General features: G+C 48.8%; 1 protein-coding gene across 3 annotated transcripts, besides 2 other annotated features; it reads left to right on the top strand.

Moving 5' to 3' along the window:
• Positions 227-1,207: a transcriptional cis regulatory region, noted in NCBI's record as "promoter|chrX:47509425-47510405 region (GRCh37/hg19 assembly coordinates) targeted for CRISPR interference". NCBI's record gives its function as "positively regulates PLP2 gene expression in K562 cells {active_cell/tissue: K562}" and the evidence as "EXISTENCE:mutant phenotype evidence [ECO:0000015][PMID:31784727]".
• Positions 486-895: a silencer, noted in NCBI's record as "silent region_20811". NCBI's record gives its function as "represses an Ori minimal core promoter by ATAC-STARR-seq in GM12878 lymphoblastoid cells {active_cell/tissue: GM12878}" and the evidence as "EXISTENCE:reporter gene assay evidence [ECO:0000049][PMID:35858748]".
• ELK1 (ETS transcription factor ELK1) lies at positions 629-15,713 on the top strand. Of its 3 annotated transcripts, NM_001114123.3 has the most exons (7): positions 670-810; positions 1,207-1,312; positions 9,758-10,001; positions 11,895-12,338; positions 13,051-13,482; positions 14,119-14,220; positions 14,306-15,712. In NM_001114123.3, exons 3-7 carry the CDS (start codon positions 9,792-9,794, stop codon positions 14,402-14,404), a joined length of 1,287 nt encoding a protein of 428 aa, NP_001107595.1. In that variant the 5' UTR covers positions 670-810; positions 1,207-1,312; positions 9,758-9,791; the 3' UTR covers positions 14,405-15,712. The 3 variants fall into 3 exon arrangements, with proteins under 3 accessions (NP_005220.2, NP_001244097.1, NP_001107595.1); NM_005229.4 differs by lacking the exon at positions 1,207-1,312 and having other exon boundaries at positions 629-810; positions 14,306-15,713; NM_001257168.1 differs by lacking the exon at positions 13,051-13,482 and having other exon boundaries at positions 629-810; positions 11,895-11,954; positions 14,181-14,220; positions 14,306-15,713.

Raw genomic sequence — 20,130 nt, 5'->3', positions numbered from 1 at the left:
GCCCTCTGAAAGCATTTCGTTTCTGCCACTCAATGCTCTTTCGTGTGCCTGACAGCCATCCTGCCCTCCTACCTCCGCTGTGTTCTAAATTCGTCTTTACCCAGCTCTATGGTCTTGTCTAACCGTAGAGCTGCCCTGCCCGCCTACGCGGAGCCCAGTCCGACCCACTCCCGCCGGCTGCTACGCCCATTTCTATACAAGCCCTGCTTCCGCTGAGCAGCATGGCGTGCGACACCGCCCCCTTGGTGTTTTGGCAGGGGTCTAGAAGTCCCTCGTCCGCCAATCAGAGAAAAACAGGGCCACCCACCCCCGTCCTTGGGGGCTGTCTTCCATCAATCCCATGTAAGCCAATCAGTGTGAGGCAGACCCCCGCCCCCCCGACACAGGCCCCGAGCCTTTTCAGTTGCTCACAGTCCGTCAGTCCTTGAGCCAATCGGCGTGGAGCACCGTGAAGGCCGAACGCGCCTCCTCGGGACTCCAGGGGCCGTGAGCGTTCCATCATTTCCCCTTACGCCAATCACGGCACAGCTCTGTAGGGAAGGGCCCGTCCCCCAACCCCTCGAGGCCTTGCGGCCGATTAATAGCGCTTTGGCCAATCAGCGAGCGGCGGGACATTGGGCTCCTCCTCCTCGGGCCCACGTGAGCTGTAGGGAAACGCAGGGGCGGCTTCTAGGTGCTGCCGCCGCCACCGCCACCACCACCTCCACCGCCGCCTCGGAACCCAGGCCTGGGGGGCGGTGGGGCCGCGTATGGAGCCCCCGCCCCCCGGAGCTGCCAACATTGCCAACGCCACCGCCACGCTACACACAGGTGAGCTCTGGGCCTGGAGGGTGGAGGGCCCAGTCCGTGACCCCACGTATCCTTCCCGCCCCCGCGCAGAGGATGTGGCTTGGCCGGTGGCCTGCTGGTGTTCGACTCCCCGCCGCCACCACCACGGCTGGTGGACCTGCGTGTGGCATTGCTCAAGCCCTTCGTCCCTTATAGTGGATCTGACCGTGGCCTAACCTCCCCCTCCCGTTGTATAATGGATCGGTCTGCGTGCTTATGTTTTTCCCCACGCCAACTTAGGGTGGACTCGTCCATAGGCTTTCCCCCTACCCCTACCCCCACCCGCCCCCCACCCACCCCCACTTATAGGGAGCTAGCCTGTGACAGTGTTCAGCCCCCTTAATAGTAGGTGTATCTGAGTGTTTGGATTTCTCCTAGCCTCAACTTTCAGGAGACCCGTCCGTGGCCTTATTTATTCCACCCTTCCTGTACATCGTAGCGAATCAATCCGTGGCGCCGCACTCCTCCGCATCCCTCTTTAACAGTGAGTCTACCTGAGTTTGTATTCCTGCCTCCTCCAGTCCCCCAATGCATCAGTCCATGGCTTTTTTCAAAACCACCCCCCCCCCCCACCACCACCACCACCATTTTATAGTGGATCAGTCTTCATGTTTGGATTCACGTCCCTTTAGCTATCAGTCCATTGCCCTGTCTCCTCTTTTTCGTAGACTGTCGCTCTAGCGCTTGGGGTTCTCTCCTTTTTAATAGTGGGTTAGTTTAGTGCTTTACATCTCCCTATTTTCAGTAGCTCAGTCCATAGCCTTTTCCCTCTCTGCTTTGAATCAGTCTGTGTGATGGCTTTTCTCTCCTCTCACTGTGGTGCAGGAGTCTGTAAGGTTTTCTGCTCCCCTTCCCCTCAGACGATGAGCCTCATCACCCCTCCCTTTGCAGTGGATCTGTTCATTGGCCTTCCTCCCCCACACCCCTGTATGCTTGCACAGTCCCCCGCATACCCTCCCGTGAGTCCAGTGCTTTGTAATTGGGGGAAGATCGGCCGTGTACTTTCAATTTCCTTCTCTTTTTTTTTCCCTTCCCAGAAGAGAACGTGCTGATCCTCTTTTCCTTGTGATGGAGCACTGTACGGCCTTCCCTGTCCTCCACCTCTTAATAGTGGGTCAGCCTGGTCACACTCGTAACCACAAAGACGTTCTGCCTCACTACAATAAGTGAATACATTAGCGCCAGTGATGATAGTAATGCCAATAGGAGCTAGCGTTTATTGAGCACCTGCCGTATATCAGGCAGAGTGTTTCATATGAATGAGTTCCTTTAATCCTCACCACAACCCCATGAGATAGGTAGTGAGGGAATTGGGCCATAGGGAGGTTAAATTCCTTACTCAAAGGTGGCCCAGGAAGTACTCAGGACACAGGATAATTTTTGAGGCTCCCCTCTTAGATCTCATCCCACCCCACGTGAGGCCTCAGTCCTTAAAAACCAAATTAGTTCTCACCTCCAAGCTTTTGTTCTTGCTGTTCCCTCTGCCTGCAGAGCAGTCTTCATTCCTCACCTTCTCTCAGCACCCACCCACCCCCCAATCCCAGCAGCTGTGTGACCTTAGATGAGTGATTTAACCACTTCCTCTCTGTGCCTTTTTCTTCATTTGTGAAATGGGGGATCAGAACTAGAATCCCTTCCAGTGTAAATAAATATTAACTGTGAATTAATGGTAAAACAAGTAACCTTTCTAGCATTACCGCCTATACCTTCCCACCCCCTTACTGTGCTCCAACCACACTGGTTCCACCACACAGCTCCTCAAACATAGCAGGCATGGGCCAGCCTCAGGGCCTTTGCATTGGCTGTTCTTTGTGCCTTGAACACCACCCCCAGATCTCTGCATGGTTCCTTTCAGCACTCTGTTCAAATACCAACCCCCAAAGGATGTTTACCACACTGTGGTGTGTGGAATGCAGTATAAAAAGATACATGTATGAAAGATGTTTCTAAGAATGCCAGTTTATATATGAGTAAGGGTTTTCCTCCTTTTCAAAAGGATGTGTTCACAAGACTGAGGTACGTAATATGCTCTGTAAAGGCATAGGTATAAAAGCTGTTTCTAAGAGTGCTAGTTGTATATGTGAATAAGGACTGTGTTGTTGCATTGAAAGAATGTGTTCACAAAACTGTGGTGTGTAGCTGGGCACAGGGGTGTGCACTTATAGTCCCAGCTACTCGGGAGGCTGAGGTGGGAGGATAGCTTGAGCCCAGGAGTTCCAGGCCAGCCTGGGCAATATAGCGAGATCCCTTTTTCTGAAAAAAAAAAACCCAAAAAACAACCACTGTGGTGTGTGTAATACACTCTCTTAAAGGCACAGGCGTAAAAGATGTTTCTAAGAGTGATTTGATTTTGTTGTACCTGGGTAGTGTTATTTCATTAAAGGTTGATTGTCACACCATGGTACTTAGAATATACTATACAAAGGCACATGTATAAAAAAGAAGTTCCTAACAATGCTACTTGTAAAAACAAAAAAAGTCAACCCCTCCCTGACCATCTGAAGCTGCACACCCAGCAGGGCTCAAGCCAGGTCCCTGATTTGTCCCGTTGCCCTTTATCACTGTCTGACACACTGTGTGGGTTACTTGTTTGTTGTCTGTCTCTCCTCATTAGAATGTGAGTCCCATGAGGACTCAGTTTTTGTCTGCTCATTCACCGCTATGTCTCCAGCAACTGAAAATGTACCAGGTAAACAGCAGATGCTCAATAAGAATTTATCCCATGAATAAATGGGAAAAAGATAATTTGAGACACCAGTGTAGGGGTCACATGAGGAAGAAGAAGGGATATGAGAGCTAATTAGTTGGGACTGTTCCTGCAACCAACCTTTACTGAGCCCCTTGTGAGTACCAGGCACTCTTCTAGGTGCTGGAATATGGCAAGGAACGAAACAGGGCGAAATATTTGTGCTTGTGGAGCTGACATTTATTAAAAGTTGGGGAGGCTGGGCACGGTGGCTAACACCAGTAATCCTAGCACTTTGGGAGGCTGAGGTGGGTGGATTGCCTGAGCTCAGGAGTTCAAGACCAGCCTGGGCATCACGGTGAAACCCCATCTCTACTAAAATACAAAAAAATTAGCTGGGTGTGGCGGCGTGCGCCTGTAATCCCAGTTACTTGGGAGGCTGAGGCAGGAGAATTGCTTGAACCCAGGAGGCGGAGGTTGCAGTGAGCCAAGATTGCACCATGCACTCCAGCATGGGTGACAGAGCGAGACTCTGTCTCAAAAAAAAAAAAAAAAAAACCCAAGCTGGGGAGACAGACTATGTGAACAAAATAAATAAGTAAAATTAGCATAATAGACAAATGCTGAGAAGAAATAATGAAATAGGGCAGGTAGGAATCGAGTATTGGGGGTGGTTGAAATCTTAGGCATAGGGAAGGTGACTCTTGAATTAGGGCCTCACGGTAGAGACGGAGAGAGCCTTAATGTCTACGGGAAGAGCATACCAGGCAGAAGGAAGTGCCAGTTCAGAGGCCCTGAGGTGGGATGGTGCCTGCCATGTTCAAGGAACATCAAGGCGGCCAGTGTGGCTGGAGCAGAGTGCGGGGAAGGGTAGAAGGTGAGGTCACACAGGTGATGGGAGCCAGATAGTGCAGGTGATACATAGGATAGGATTGCAGGGGCAGGGGGAGAAGGATGACACACTAGCTAATAGCTAATATCTGTGGAGTATCTGCCACACATCAGAGGCACTTTTCTGTTCAAATACCAACCCCCAAAGGATGTTTACCACACGGTGGTGCCTGGAATGCACTACAAAAAGATACATGTGTCAAAGATATTTCTAAGAATGCCAGTTTATATATGAATAAGGATTTTCCTCCTTTTCAAAAGGATATGTTCACAAAACTGAGGTATGTAATATGCTCTATGGAGGCACAGGTATAAAAGCTGTTTCTAAGAGTGCTAGTTGTATATGTGAATAAGGACTGTGTTGTTGCATTGAAAGAATGTGTTCACAAAACTGTGGTGTATAGCTGGGCACAGAGGCTGAGGTGGGAGGATCACTTGAGCCCAGGAGTTCCAGGCCAGCCTGTGCAACATAGTGAGATCCCCGTCTCCGAAAAAAAACCCAAAAAATAACCACTGTGGTGTGCATAATACACTCTCCTAAAGGCACAGGCATAAAAGATGTTTCTAAGAGTGATTTGATTTTCTGGCACCTGGGTAGTGTTATTTCAGTAAATATTCATTGTTAAACACTATGGTGCTTGGAATATACTATACAAAGGCACATGTATAAAAAAGAAGTTCCTAACAATGCTACTTGTAAAAACAAAAAAAAAAGTCAACCCCTCAAGTCTTTTACAGAAGTATTTTACAGAATTGACACAGTTAATCCTCACAGAAGCCTTGGAGGGTAGGTGTACTTTTGAGAATATTTGACTTTGAGAGTAAAATATCCCCATTTTACAGATGAGGAAACAAGCAAAGAGAGGCTGAGTAACTTGCTCAGGGTAACCTTGAGCCAGAATAGCCAGAACAGGGGCAGAGGAACATAAGGCTGAAGACTCAGAAAGAAGAACAGATTTGCAAGGGCAGGCAGGTTATTTGGCACCTTTGATCACGCAGAGGAAGAATGAATTCTTCCTGGAATGCGATGATTGTGTAATTGAGTCCATGAAGTGAGGGAAGAGCTCTCCCTGCGGGGAGAGCAGCCCGTGCTTACCCTCAGAGGTTGGAACTGTCTCGGGAACGGTAGATAGTTCAGGGTGGCTGCCTCAGAGCCTTTGTACACGCCGTTCGCTCCGCCTGAAGGCCCTCCCCCACAGAGGGCAGCCTGGCTTGCTACCTCCCCTCCTTCAGGCCAGGTGTCACTTCCTTGGGGAAGAACTCCTTGTACACCCTGTGTAAAAACAGCATTCCTGTCACTCTCTAGGATCTTACCCTTCTCTGTTTCTCTTCATGGAGAACTGGTGGTGTAAGGCGATTGCTCACTAGAGCCAAACCACTTAGGTTTTGAATTCCGGCTCTGCCAACTTCCAGCTGTGTGACTTGGGGCAGGTTACTTCTCTGTACCTCCATTGCCTCATGTGGAAAATGGGGGAAATGATAATCCCCACCCTTTAACGGTGGTTTGAGGATTCAATGAGTTAAATGATTCAAAGAGTGTGCAGCCCACGGTAAGGATCGTATGCCTGGCTTGCATTTTTAAATTATTAAAATGTATTCATAGCATACCCGTAGATGTCTGACAGGCCTCTGAAACTGACCATCTCCAAAACTGGTGTGACCCCCCTCAAAACTTACTCTCCTGCAAGGCTCCCACCTCAGCTGACCACAATGCTGTCTTTGTGGGTGATTAGGCCACAAACCTAGACTCACCCTGGACCCTTCTCTCACCTCCCCCGGGCATGCTATCTGTCAGCAAGTCCTATTCTGTGTTCAGGCTTTCTCCAGACCCCAGCTACTTCTCGCCAGCCCCACTGCTACCACCATCATCTACCGCAGTGGCTTCTTCAGCCCCAACAGTCTGTTCTTCTCACAACCGCCAGGGGGATCCTGTTGAAATCTCAGTCACAGCCTGTCATCCCTCTGTTCACAACCCTCTTGTGGCTCCTGTCTCACTCAACATCCTGACAGCACCCGAAAAAGCCTGGCTCAGTCTGGCCCCCGTCACTCTGTTCTCCTCTCCCGCTGCCTCCCTCCTCTCCCCCGAACCCATGTCAGCCTCCTCTCCCCATGTCACCTGCCAGGCACTCTCCAGCCTTGGGCCCTTCACACCGGCTGCCGCTTCCACCTGGCTTGCTGCTCTCAGATACTCACGAGCTCAGTTCCTTCACCTCCTTTTGGTCTCTGCCCAGTTGTCCCCTCCTTGGCGACTACTCTCCCCTGACTCTCCATGTAAAAGTAACAGCTCTCCCCTGCTTGATTTTTTTCCCATAACCCTTACCACCATCTGACGCACTCTTGTACATGTTTGCCTTTTTTCTCATCTGCCTTTCCTGCTAAGATGTGAGCTCCTCTGGAGCAGGGATTGTTGTCTGTTGCGTTCTCGACTGTATCCGCAGCACCTGGCCCACAGTATGCACTCACCAAATGCTTGCTAAGTGAAGGAGATGGAAAGAAGTAAACATATCTAAGCAAGGCAGATTACTAGAACTCTTATGAGGGGTCAAGTGGGAGAAATAACAAAATACAAAGCCCTGTGTGCTGTTGAAGCTGGAAGCCCACCGTCACCTTTCACTCAGCTGATAGGTTCTGTTGCAGCTGAAAGAAGAACTGGTAAAATTGCCTGTCTTTGCCACCAGGAGTCACTCTGAACTCTTTGGACTTCTGAAACAAGCCTGCCTGCAAAACAAATTCAGTGAGGTCTCTGGTGACAGGACTCTCTAATCGGACACTTCATGGCTTTGTGACTTGTATAATTGAACAGGAAGCTCATGTTTATTTCCAGTTTGCTCTCAGGAAAGAAAGCAGTAATGGGGTGACAGGGAGGATCCTGTTCTTTGAAGGACATGCTGAGAGGGAATAGTCGGTGTGAGGGGCCGTTTAGCCTAATGGTGAAATGCTTAGTCAACTGGAACCTGACTGCCTGGCTCCAAATGCTGGCTTTGCCACATGTGGCCTGTGGAAGGTACGTAGACATTTGTGCCTCCGCTGCCTCATTTATAAGTTAATGACAGGAAGACTACCTACTTCTCAGAGGCATGATCAGGGATAAATAAGTCAATGCCCATTAAAAAAAAAAATAACAGTACAGGTGTACATGCCCTTACCCAAAACCCCTGGGGCCAGATGTGTTTCAGAATTTCCATTTCTTCACATTTCAGAAAGGTAACATGATGCATATACGATGTTACATAACACCCCTTAGTAAGCTCTGTAATCGGCTGTGTTCATATTTCTGCAGCAAAATGTATGAACACTCGCAATAAGTGAGATTCAATAAAGACCAGAAAGGGCCTTGTTTCATTTCAAATCAGGTTTTGCCACCAAAAGAGTTAAAAGAAGCTTTCTGCCCTTAGAGCATTTTGGATGTTGGAATGGCAGATAAGGGACTATGAACAAATCAGAAACTAATATTTAGAGCTTATCATACACCTCAGGCATATAATATTTAATCTGTACAATATCTCTGTGAACTAGGTATTGTTATCCCCATTTTACTAATGGGCATATCATTATCCCTGTTTTACACATGAGAAAATTGAGGTACAAAGAGGTTAAAGAATATCAGCCAAGCGTGGTGCCTCATGCCTGTAATCCTAGCACTTTAGGAGGCCAGGGAGAGAGGATTGCTTGAGCCCAGGAGTTCAAGAACAGCCTGGGCAACATAGTGAGACCCCATTTCTTAAAAAAAGAAAAAGAATATGCCCAGGGTCACACAGCTAATAAGTGGCAGAACCAGGATTCAAACACTGGCAATCTGGCCCTAGTGCCTGGGCAGTTGTCCAGCAGGCCATATTGCCTCTCTGCTTAGAAGAGTGCCTGATGTGTATTAAGCTCTCAATAGATGTTAATTATTGCTGTCATCAAGAAAGAGAATATTCAGGGCCGAGCACGGTATCTCACACCTGTAATCCTAGCACTTTGGGAAGCCAAGGTGGGAGGTGGGTGGATCACTTGAGGTCAGGAGTTCAAGACCAGTCTGGCCAACATGGTGAAACCATGTCTCTACTAAAAATACAAAAATTAGCCGGGCGTGGTCGTGGGTACCTGTAATCCCAGCTATGCGGGAGGCTGAGGCATGAGAATCGCTTGAACCTGGGAGGCAGAGGTTGCAGTGAGTCAAGATTGTGCCACTATACTGCGCTCCAGCCTGGGCAACAGAGAGAGACTCCATCTCAAAAAAAAAGAAAAAAAAAAAAAGAACGAGAACATTCAGGGACAGTAACAGGACAGAGAGATCAGGCATTCATTCAGTTTTAGGACGGCTTCATAAAGGAAAGGACCTTTGGGCTGGGACTTGAAAGATAAGAAAGACTGCTAGGCGAAAGAAGGAAGCCCCACGTGGAGTGAGCAGCCTTTGCAAGGGTCTGGCAAAAAAAAAACCTCCTGAAAAACTTGACATTGATATGGTAGAAGATACAGATAATATTCAAATGAGGAGGATGGAACTAGTTTTCTATTCTTGCTGTAACAAATAATCACAAATTTAGCTGCTTAAAACAACACATTTGTTATCTTACAGTTCTGTAGGTCAGAAGTCCCACACTGGTCTCAGCTGAAATCAAGGTATTGGCAGGGTTGCGTTCCTTCTGGAGGCTCTAGGGGAAAATCCATTTCCTGCTCATTCAAGTTGTTGGCAGAATCCAATTCCTTGAGATTGTAGGACTGAAGTCCCTGTTTCCTTACTGTCTGTCAGCTGACAGCCATTCCCAGCTTTAAGAGGCTGCCCACAGTCCTTGATTCTGAGCCTCCTTCCTCCATCTTCAAAGCCAACAATGGCAGGTTGAGTCCCTCTCACATTTTGAATCTCCCCTGCCTCTTCTGTCATCACATCTCTGAGCTACCTTTCTTTCTCCATCATCTGCTTTTCAGAGCTCATATGATTAGATTGAATTTCATCAAATAATCCAGAAATAATCTCCCTGTCTTAGGGTTTGTAACCTTAATTTCATCTGCAAAGTTCCTTTCTGCTATGTAGTGTAAATAACATACAGGTTCCGAGGATTAGGATGCGGAGCAGGGTTGGCATCATTTGGCCTACCACAGTCTGCCCTCTGACCCCCACAGATTCACATTTGTTTCACATTCAAAATACATTCACACCATCCTAAGATACCCATGAGTTGTATCCCATCACAGGGAGCATCCCAAGCAAGACTGGGGAGCTAGAAGTTAGTCTGGGAAGGTTTAGGGAATGATGGTAGGGTTTGAAGACAGAGATGGAGAAAAGATGACAAAAAAAGGAATCCTCCTCCCGCTGACCTCTGCCCCTCCTATGTCCACAGCCTCTCAACTCAGCTGTTTGCTCTCCAGGTACCCCTGGGATGGCGTGAGCACTCCCCCAGCGATGGACCCATCTGTGACGCTGTGGCAGTTTCTGCTGCAGCTGCTGAGAGAGCAAGGCAATGGCCACATCATCTCCTGGACTTCACGGGATGGTGGTGAATTCAAGCTGGTGGATGCAGAGGAGGTGGCCCGGCTGTGGGGGCTACGCAAGAACAAGACCAACATGAATTACGACAAGCTCAGCCGGGCCTTGCGGTACTACTATGACAAGGTACAGTCTCTCAGACCAGGGCTGGAACCCCCCCCTGACATTTATATCAGAGATTTTATTTTGTTTTAATTGCCATAGCTATGACTTTGAAAGCAATGTTAAAATTTATCAGTTTTTAACCCATCCATTGGTACCCTAAGACCAGTATTGGGCCCCTAAACACTATCTCACCTACTTTCTTGTCTTACTGCTTTGGCGAAAACCACCACTGCATTATTAATACTGACTCTTTCTACTCCCACTCTGAGATCCCCAAAGTGATGCTGCCCTGCCATGCACAACGTTTCATTTTCCTGCCGTATTCCTATAGCCAACATCTTGAAAACACGGTTAATAATGGCTGGTCCTCATTCTGTCCTCTGAAACCCCTGGACCAGTGCTGGGCTTCCCTAGTTATTTCATAGTCTTCTCTTATTCCAGAATATTTCATATTCCTAGAATCAAAACCTCCCTGACAGTATTATACCAACTTTTGCTTACTTCGTCCTCTGGGACTCCCAACATTTTTAACTAATTATTTTCTTCTCTTATTCCTTAAGCTAAAACCTCTGAAACAACATGTTTAATGCCAACTTCCACACACTGTCTTCTTAAATTCCCAGAGGAGCACTGGTCTACCCCAATATTTATATCAATTGTTTTCATTATCTTATTCCTACAGCTAAAATTTAAAATTTCCCCCATCCTGCCCTCTCAGACCCCCAGGCCACTGCTGGGTTTCTCCTCCCCCCAATATTTATACCAGTTATTTCATTTTCTTAATCCTTCTACTGAAATTTCCCAAACAATATTCATGAATATCCCTTTTTATTCCTCTTCCGAGAAACACAGGCCCACCCTGTGACATATCTGACCAGCACTAAGACTTCCACAGAATGCCCTAGTGCCTCCACACTCCCAGAACTGCCCTGGTCATATGCTGCACACCCTTCATAGTTTATGGCATTTATTCCATTTTCATATTTTATTCCTTGAGCTCAACCCTCCAGAACAATATTAGTAATGAGGCTATCTCACTCTGCCCTCTGGGAACACTAGGTCATCTCTGAGACCCACCAGACCTGAAAAACCCCAAACATGCTCTGTGACCCAGCAAAGCCAGCCTTGATATAGGCCCCCTCCCAATATTTATACCAGTATTTTTAATATTCTTGTCTAATTGCTGTTAGTTACTTCATTTTCTTACCATTTTAGCTTCAACCTCCACAGTGGTATTAATAATGAGGCCTCCTCACCCTCTCCTCTGCAGTGACCTTGCCCTGTTCCACTTCTGTATCATTAGCTTCAAATAATCCTCTGTATTAATAATTCATCACCCCATCCATCTACATTAATTTACTTTCTTCCAACATTTATATCAGTTACTTCATTTTCTTGTCTTATTGCATTTGCTAGTCTCCAAAACTGTGTCCTGACAGTCACCCACAAGGCCTGGCCCTGTGAACCTCTGGTTCTTGGAGCCAGGAAGAAGACCTGCTCCCACACCTACTGCCCTTCATGGGCCCCATTGTGAAGAGGAGCTACAGTGTGGAGGGAGTGGGAAAATCAGATAGACGGACCTGGAGAGTGACAAAGGGAGGCTTGGAAAGGGGTGGATGGGAAGGGGCTTAAAGAAAAAATTATTGTGGAGAGAAGAGAGAAAGGGGAGGAACTGGGGAGGGATATAGATAAGGGGAATCTGGCGGGAGAGGAAAGAGGTAGAAACCAATGGGAGAGGAAATGGGCTGAGAGAGAAACTTACAGAGGAGGGACGGGAAAGCCGGAGAGGAGCAAGTGGGAAGAAAGCCACTAGGAGAAGAGAAATGCCACTCCACCCCCCTCCTCCCCCCTGACACCCTGCCTCCAGCCTGCCCCTTTCCTCTAAGGCCCTCTGTTCCTCTCCTCCCTTCCTAGAACATCATCCGCAAGGTGAGCGGCCAGAAGTTCGTCTACAAGTTTGTGTCCTACCCTGAGGTCGCAGGGTGCTCCACTGAGGACTGCCCGCCCCAGCCAGAGGTGTCTGTTACCTCCACCATGCCAAATGTGGCCCCTGCTGCTATACATGCCGCCCCAGGGGACACTGTCTCTGGAAAGCCAGGCACACCCAAGGGTGCAGGAATGGCAGGCCCAGGCGGTTTGGCACGCAGCAGCCGGAACGAGTACATGCGCTCGGGCCTCTATTCCACCTTCACCATCCAGTCTCTGCAGCCGCAGCCACCCCCTCATCCTCGGCCTGCTGTGGTGCTCCCCAGTGCAGCTCCTGCAGGGGCAGCAGCGCCCCCCTCGGGGAGCAGGAGCACCAGTCCAAGCCCCTTGGAGGCCTGTCTGGAGGCTGAAGAGGCCGGCTTGCCTCTGCAGGTAAGGACTGGAATATAGAAATTCAGTAAGAGGAGGCAGTAAAGAGGAGGGATGTGTAATCCCCGGATGACGAGGGAGGCTGGTAGAAGAGACATAGCTGTCCCGTTAAAGGAGATAATGGTGGAAGGAAGACATCCTCTTAGAAGGAGGGGTGGGGCAGAGAGCTACACAAATCCTGAGACAGAAAGGGGAGAATACTGTGCTACAGTTAGTAGCTGCCGAACATGTAGGTGCCTGGAATATGTTTAATGCACTGGTTCTCGCACTCTAGTGCTCATCAGAATCACCTGTAGGTCTTGTTAAACCACAGATTGCCAGGCACACCCCCAGAGTTTCTGAATTTGTGGGGCTGGGGAGGGGCCCAATAATTTGCATTTTTAACTTGTTACCAAATGAGGCAGATATTGCTGGTCCAGAGGAAGGTAAATTTTTGAGAACCACTGTTTTAATGAATGAGGATGGTATCCCTCAGATTCCTACCCGCTTCAGGTTGTCTCACCCCAAGTCCCCTGTCCCATAGGAGGACCTGCCCCAGAGGAAGCCCTACTTCCTTGACGAAGTCCTATGTCCTGTTGGAGGACTTGCTCTGATGTGCAGTCATGCCCTGAGTACCAAGTGCCACCTTCCCGGGGAAATCACTGGGTGGCCCACAGGAGAATCCTGTGGTCCCAACAATCCTTACACACCCTCTTTGTGCCTGCTCCTCTACCAGGTCATCCTGACCCCGCCCGAGGCCCCAAACCTGAAATCGGAAGAGCTTAATGTGGAGCCGGGTTTGGGCCGGGCTTTGCCCCCAGAAGTGAAAGTAGAAGGGCCCAAGGAAGAGTTGGAAGTTGCGGGGGAGAGAGGGTTTGTGCCAGAAACCACCAAGGCCGAGCCAGAAGTCCCTCCACAGGAGGGCGTGCCAGCCCGGCTGCCCGCGGTTGTTATGGACACCGCAGGGCAGGCGGGCGGCCATGCGGCTTCCAGCCCTGAGATCTCCCAGCCGCAGAAGGGCCGGAAGCCCCGGGACCTAGAGCTTCCACTCAGCCCGAGCCTGCTAGGTGGGCCGGGACCCGAACGGACCCCAGGATCGGGAAGTGGCTCCGGCCTCCAGGCTCCGGGGCCGGCGCTGACCCCATCCCTGCTTCCTACGCATACATTGGTGAGTGCCTGCGGAGGGGTGGGGTGTGTGGGCGCCAGCACCAATGGGATTGGCATGTGGCGGGTGACTGACAGGAATCAGAGGAGGGTGAGTGTGGTTGTTCCTGAAGAGGGTGGAGCCTTTGAGTGTGATTGACTGGGCTGATGCTGGCTGGAGGGATGGGGTTTGATTAGTGAAGGGCAGGGCTGGGGACTTTTGTGGGTGGGACCGAGGGTCTTTCTGTGGGACTGTTTCTAGGTTGGGGTGTGGCTTAAGGAACCTGAGCAGGGCTTTTTGGTCTGGGATGTGCATATGGGGTTTCATGGGTGGGACATGAGTTGGAAGTTGACCCTGAGCTGTTGGGATGGTGACTTGAGAGGTTTGAGAGCAGCATTTGGATAGGGTCTTGTGGGTGGTCTTGACCAATGAGGTCTCAGCAACTGAGGGTGGGCTCTCGGGAGTGGGGAGTGGGGGGTGTCTGCAGAGTTTGAGAGATCATAGGCATGGCCTCCATGGTTACCATCTAGGTGTGTGCACTTTGGGGAGTGACCCTGGGAGTGTGAGTGGGAAATCTGTGGTGGGGCCGGGACCAAGTCCCTTCCAGCATCCCACATCTACTTTCTACTCACTTGAGCTCCGACCACCCTCTCCCCACAGACCCCGGTGCTGCTGACACCCAGCTCGCTGCCTCCTAGCATTCACTTCTGGAGCACCCTGAGTCCCATTGCGCCCCGTAGCCCGGCCAAGCTCTCCTTCCAGGTAGGATCCTCTTTCCCCGTTTTGGACAGGGTGAGAGACCCAAGAATGGCCCCCATCTGTGACCTCTCCCTCTTTTTGCCCCCAGTTTCCATCCAGTGGCAGCGCCCAGGTGCACATCCCTTCTATCAGCGTGGATGGCCTCTCGACCCCCGTGGTGCTCTCCCCAGGGCCCCAGAAGCCATGACTACTACCACCACCACCACCACCCCTTCTGGGGTCACTCCATCCATGCTCTCTCCAGCCAGCCATCTCAAGGAGAAACATAGTTCAACTGAAAGACTCATGCTCTGATTGTGGTGGGGTGGGGATCCTTGGGAAGAATTACTCCCAAGAGTAACTCTCATTATCTCCTCCACAGAAAACACACAGCTTCCACAACTTCTCTGTTTTCTGTCAGTCCCCCAGTGGCCGCCCTTACACGTCTCCTACTTCAATGGTAGGGGCGGTTTATTTATTTATTTTTTGAAGGCCACTGGGAGGAGCCTGACCTAACCTTTTAGGGTGGTTAGGACATCTCCCCCACCTCCCCACTTTTTTCCCCAAGACAAGACAATCGAGGTCTGGCTTGAGAACGACCTTTCTTTCTTTATTTCTCAGCCTGCCCTTGGGGAGATGAGGGAGCCCTGTCTGCGTTTTTGGATGTGAGTAGAAGAGTTAGTTTGTTTTGTTTTATTATTCCTGGCCATACTCAGGGGTCCAGGAAGAATTTGTACCATTTAATGGGTTGGGAGTCTTGGCCAAGGAAGAATCACACCCTTGGAATAGAAATTTCCACCTCCCCAACCTTTCTCTCAGACAGCTTATCCTTTTCAACCAACTTTTTGGCCAGGGAGGAATGTCCCTTTTGTTCTTCCCCCTGAGAAGCCATTCCTTTGTCTGCCAACCTCCCTGGGGTCCTGCCTGTTTCCTCCCAATGGAGGGTTTTTTTGGGGGGTGGTCCCCGTCTGGGGGGCCCCTCCAGCCAGTACTCCAGGTCTCCCTGTCTCTCCCCCGCTGCCATTTTGATAGTATAATCTATTTTTAAATGGGGCTTTTCAATAGGGGAGAGGGAGTCATCTCTTCCTATATTTGGTGGGGTGGGTGGGAAGGAAGGGATTTGGGGGGGAATCTTCCTGCCGCCTCCCCCACTCCAAGTGTTTATTTTTGATACCAAACATGAATTTTCAGTTCCCTCCCTCCCAGCCCCCCAATTTCCTGCGGGCGGGTACAAAGGACCCTTTCAATGTCCCTGGAGTTGGGAGGGAGGAATGGGGGACATAAAGCCTGTCCTGTCTCTATTCTAGGCAAGAGAGAGTGGGTTCAAAAGACTCCTGGGCTCACCTGTTAGCGCTGGCCCAGCCCAGGCCTTGGGACCTGGGGGTTGGTGATTTGGGGGACAGTGCTACACTCGTCTCCACTGTTTGTTTTACTTCCCCAAAATGGACCTTTTTTTTTTCTAAAGAGTCCCAGAGAATGGGGAATTGTTCCTGTAAATATATATTTTTCAAAGTGATGCTGGAGGCTGCTGGCACTTTTTCTCTGATGTTGTCAGGACTAGCTGAGCGTGACACGCATGACTGTGTGTGGAGGGTGTGAGGCAGAGGTCGATTGTGAGAGAAACGGTGTGATGGCGTGTGTGAGAAACAATAGTAGGGACTGCATATCGGTAACCATGTGTGTGTCAGAGACGTGGAAAGCTGTGATTGTGTGTGAGAGTGTGCAGAAGTTGTGACCACAGACTTTTGATGGTGTGTCTATGTGGGAAATTGTGGCTGTGTTTCAGAAAATAACTGAGCCTGGATGAATAGTCAAGGTACTGTACAAGAACCTGTGATGGTATGCACAAAATAATGTCTACGAGAAGGGAACGGGGACTGCAGCCCTGTCACTGTTTGATGGCGAGCAAGACAGACTGGGTGACCAAAACCACATGTGAGAGACTACGTGGGCATGAAACTACAGTAGAGGTTGTCAGGGATTGTGGCAAAGATTGTGTAGGTGACAAACCTCACTGTAGGCGACTCAACGTTTGAGAAATAGATGATGTGCAAAACTGTTTACTTGAGGCTGTAGTGTCAGCTAAAGCTGTAAGACTGTATGGGTGCGAACTTGATTGTACGGGAGAGAATGGCTGGGAGACCAAACCAGTGACCGAGACCAAAGATACAAGAAGGTGCAATTGTGTGTACGAAAGCAGGCGTGAGAGACTGCAGCAAAGACTGAGAAAAACGAATGGCTGTGACTGGGAGAGTGTGACAGGCTGTGTGTGTGTGTGTGTACACCTGAAACTAGTTGCAAATCGATTTACCATTACTACCACAGTCTATCCCACAGGTTCAGGGACTGTGAGAAAGTAGGAGAGAAAATGACGGTGAGCCGGACGGAGCCACTGACATGGTGTGAGAGACCACATCACTGGGCATGCAAGGGAGAGGGACAAGGAACTGTTTATGAGAGACTTGGCAGTAGCAGTAACTGGAAGTCAGAAACTGTGGGAGAGGAACTTGACAACTGAGTGATGTCAGAGCACCAGGGGGTCTGTGAAACAGTTCATAAGAAACCATAAATCAGGGGCCATACAAAAGAGCTGAGCAAATGAGACATGCCAAGTGACCACGTGACAGTGTGTGAGAAACTTGTAAAGCTGTGCACGTGTGTCCGTGATGAGCTGACCATATGAAGAAAATGACGGTGTGCACGACTGAGAGGGCATGGGTGACTGTGGGTGACTTATCGAGGGCCTAGTGGTGATTGTGAAATACTGACCGAGTATATCAGAAGCTGACTGAGGGACAGTGATGACTGAGACAGTGGCTGAGAAACGGATTGTGTGTCCATGGGTAAACCCTTTGCAAGAGACTTTATGAAAGGCTGTAAATCAAGGACTGAGGGTACTGGAAGCTGATTGAGAAGAAACGTGAGACTAGGTGACGACAGTGTCTGAGATACTGTGTGATTGTGTATGCGTGTGAATGTCTTTGTGGGAGAGGCTGTAATCAGGGATCGTGGGTGTGTGAAAAAGTGGCTTGAGTGAGAAAGGGGTAGGAGAGGTGATTTTTGTGCATGTGTGGGAAACTTCATGAGAGACTAGTTAGTGGTGACTATAAATCAGTGACTATTTGTGTATGTGAGAAAGTAACAGGCCAAATGAGTGCCTAAACGTTTCATGAGATTGTGTGACTGCACGTGTATGTAAGGAACTGACTGGTGAGAGAAACTATTGGCAATATTGACTGAATGAGACAGGCTGTTAAACATGATTGTGTGTGTGAAACTGTTAGGAGACTGTAGTAAGGCTGGAATCCATGACACAGAAAATGACTATGAGTGACAGAATGTCTGAGAGGCTGTGTGATTAAGAGAATATAGTAGAGGCTGTAAATCCGGACTGGGTGCGGTGGCTCATGCTTGTAATCCCAGCACTTTGGGAGGCCAAGGTGGGAGGATCACTTGAGGCCAGGAGCTTGAGACCAGCCTGGGCCACATGGTGAGACCCCGTCACTACTAAAAATTTAAAAAATTAGCATAACGTAGTGTTGTGCACCTGTAATCCCAGCTACATGGGAGGCTGATGTGGGAGGACTACTTGAGGCCAGGATTTTGAGTTTGAGACCAACCTGGGCAACATAGAAGGACCCTGCCGCTACCAAAACAAAAAACAAAATTACCCAGGTATAGTGGTGCATGCCTGTAGTCCCAGCTACTGAGGACACTGAGTTGGGAGGATCGCTTCAGCCCAGGAGTTTGAGTTTGAGACCAGCCTGGGCAATGTGGCAAAACCCTGTCTCTCCAAATAGTTTAAAAAATTAGCCAGGTGTGGCGTGTGCCTGTAGTCCCAGTTACTCGGGAGGCTGAGGTGGGAGGATGGTTTGAGCCCAGGAGGTTGAGGCTGTAGTCTGCGATCACGCCACTGCACTCCAGCCTGGGTAACAGAACCAGACCCTGTCTCGAAAAGAAAAGAAAGAAAAGAAAAACATAACTGTGTAGATAGGTTTAAAAAAAAAAAGAGAGAGAGAGAAAATAACAGACCAAATGAGACTGTGTGAGAGGTCTAATGCCCTGCAGACCCTCGAATGTTCCAGGCCCTGGAGAAAAACCCTCTTCTGTTTTTCCTGTTCCTCCACAGGCCCCTCCTGCTCAGTCCGCTGGGCTGGCTTCTCCTACTTCTCTAAAACTTGAAATGCTGGGGTTCCCCAGGGCAAAGCCCTGGGATTCCCTTCTCTCTTCTCACGCATCCTCTCTAGGTCATCTTATCCAGGTCTTCACACTTGAAATACTACTTATCCTCCATGGGATGCCCACATTTTTACCTCTAACTCAGACTGTCCTTCTGGCATTTTATCGTAATCTCTAAAGTTTTGTTTATTTCATTGATTGATTCATTTAGCAGATGTTTATTGAGCATCCACTGTTTCCTGGTGCCTATCTAATGCCCTGCAGACCCAGCAGTTAACAAGCCAGACAAAAATCCCTGCCCTTGTGGAACTGATATTTAGGGAGTGAGAATAACAAGAAGCAGGCAAATACATAGTAGCAGGTAGGGATGTAATAATTAAATAAGACAAGACTCTCACTCTTTGTTTAAGGAATCTGCAGTCATTTTATTGCCTAAACGTGTGGGAAAAGATAGAGTGCTGACAGTCCTCTTCCACAGGGAATCCTATGAGTATTTATACAGTTTAGAAACAAAGGAAATATTGTTAATATTATTACCAGGGCAACAGGTGGTTAAATAAAGAAGCCAGCCAGAATTTCAGGTTTCTTTCTTTTTTTTTTTTTTTTTTTTTGGGACAGAGTCTCACTCTGTCGCCCAGGCTGGAGTGCAGTGGCACGATCTCAGCTCACTAGAGCCTCTGCCTCCCGAGTTCAAGCGATTCTCCTGCCTCAGCCTCCCAAGTAGCTGGGATTACAGGCATCCGCCACCACGCCTGGCTAATTTTTGTATTTTTAGTAGAGACGGCGTTTCACCATGTTGACCAGGCTGGTCTCGAACTCCTGACGTCAGGTGATCCACCTGCCTCAATCTCCCAAAGTGTTGGGATTACAGGCGTGAGCCACCATGCCTGGCCAGTTTCAGGTCTCTTGGAGAGTGTTTTCACAGGATAACACAGCAATGATTGTCTTGAAGTCGTAGAATCTTAATAAGACTCCTTTGTTCAAAGCACATTTTCAAGGATAGCCTTATGTTATCAGAGAACAGAGTATGTCTGTAATGGATACAGATATTAACACATACTTTACTGCCCATAAAACAAGTGTTCCTGAAGAACTTCTGTTTTAACAGCTGACCAAATTATTACATTTGAATTTGCAGAATTCCTCTGCCTCCCTGAGAGCAGAGGAAATTAGGCATTGCCTTCCTATCTTTCTTGTGCTTCTTTTTGTTAATTAAAAGCAAAATAAAAATTTTAAAGTGGGCCCTGGAGTTTCATTAGGGTTTATAAAAAAAAAATAAAAAAATAAAAAAAAAAGAAGGGCTGGTGTGATGGCTCATGCCTGTAATCCCAGCACTTTGGGAGGCTGAGGTTGGGAGAAAATATTGAAGCCAGGAGTTTGAGACCAGCCTGGGCAACACAACGAGACCCCATCTATACAGAAAATAAAAACATTAGTTGTGTGGTGGTGTGTGCCTGTAGTCCCAGCTACTTGGGGACGCTAAGGTGGGAAAATCACTTGAGCCCAGGAGTTTGAGGCTGCAATGAGCTATGATCAGACCACTGCACTCCAGCCCAGGTGACAGCAAGACTCTGTCTCTTTAAAACAAAACAAACAAAAAAACAGGTTTGGAAGCTACTGGGCTAGAGAGTGACAGGGATGCCAGACAAGGGTATGGGGAAGGCCTCTGTGAGGAGGGGCAACATTTGTTATCCATCTTCTCGAGGGCCAGGATTTTTGTCTGTCCTATTCTCTGCTCTAATGCTAAGAACCGCA

This window comes from Homo sapiens, chromosome X (genome assembly GCF_000001405.40).
Source record: "Homo sapiens chromosome X, GRCh38.p14 Primary Assembly".
NCBI classification, from domain to species: domain Eukaryota; kingdom Metazoa; phylum Chordata; class Mammalia; order Primates; family Hominidae; genus Homo; species Homo sapiens.
The sequence above is the reverse complement of the archived record's forward strand: the minus strand, read 5'-3'. Positions and strand labels throughout refer to the sequence as shown.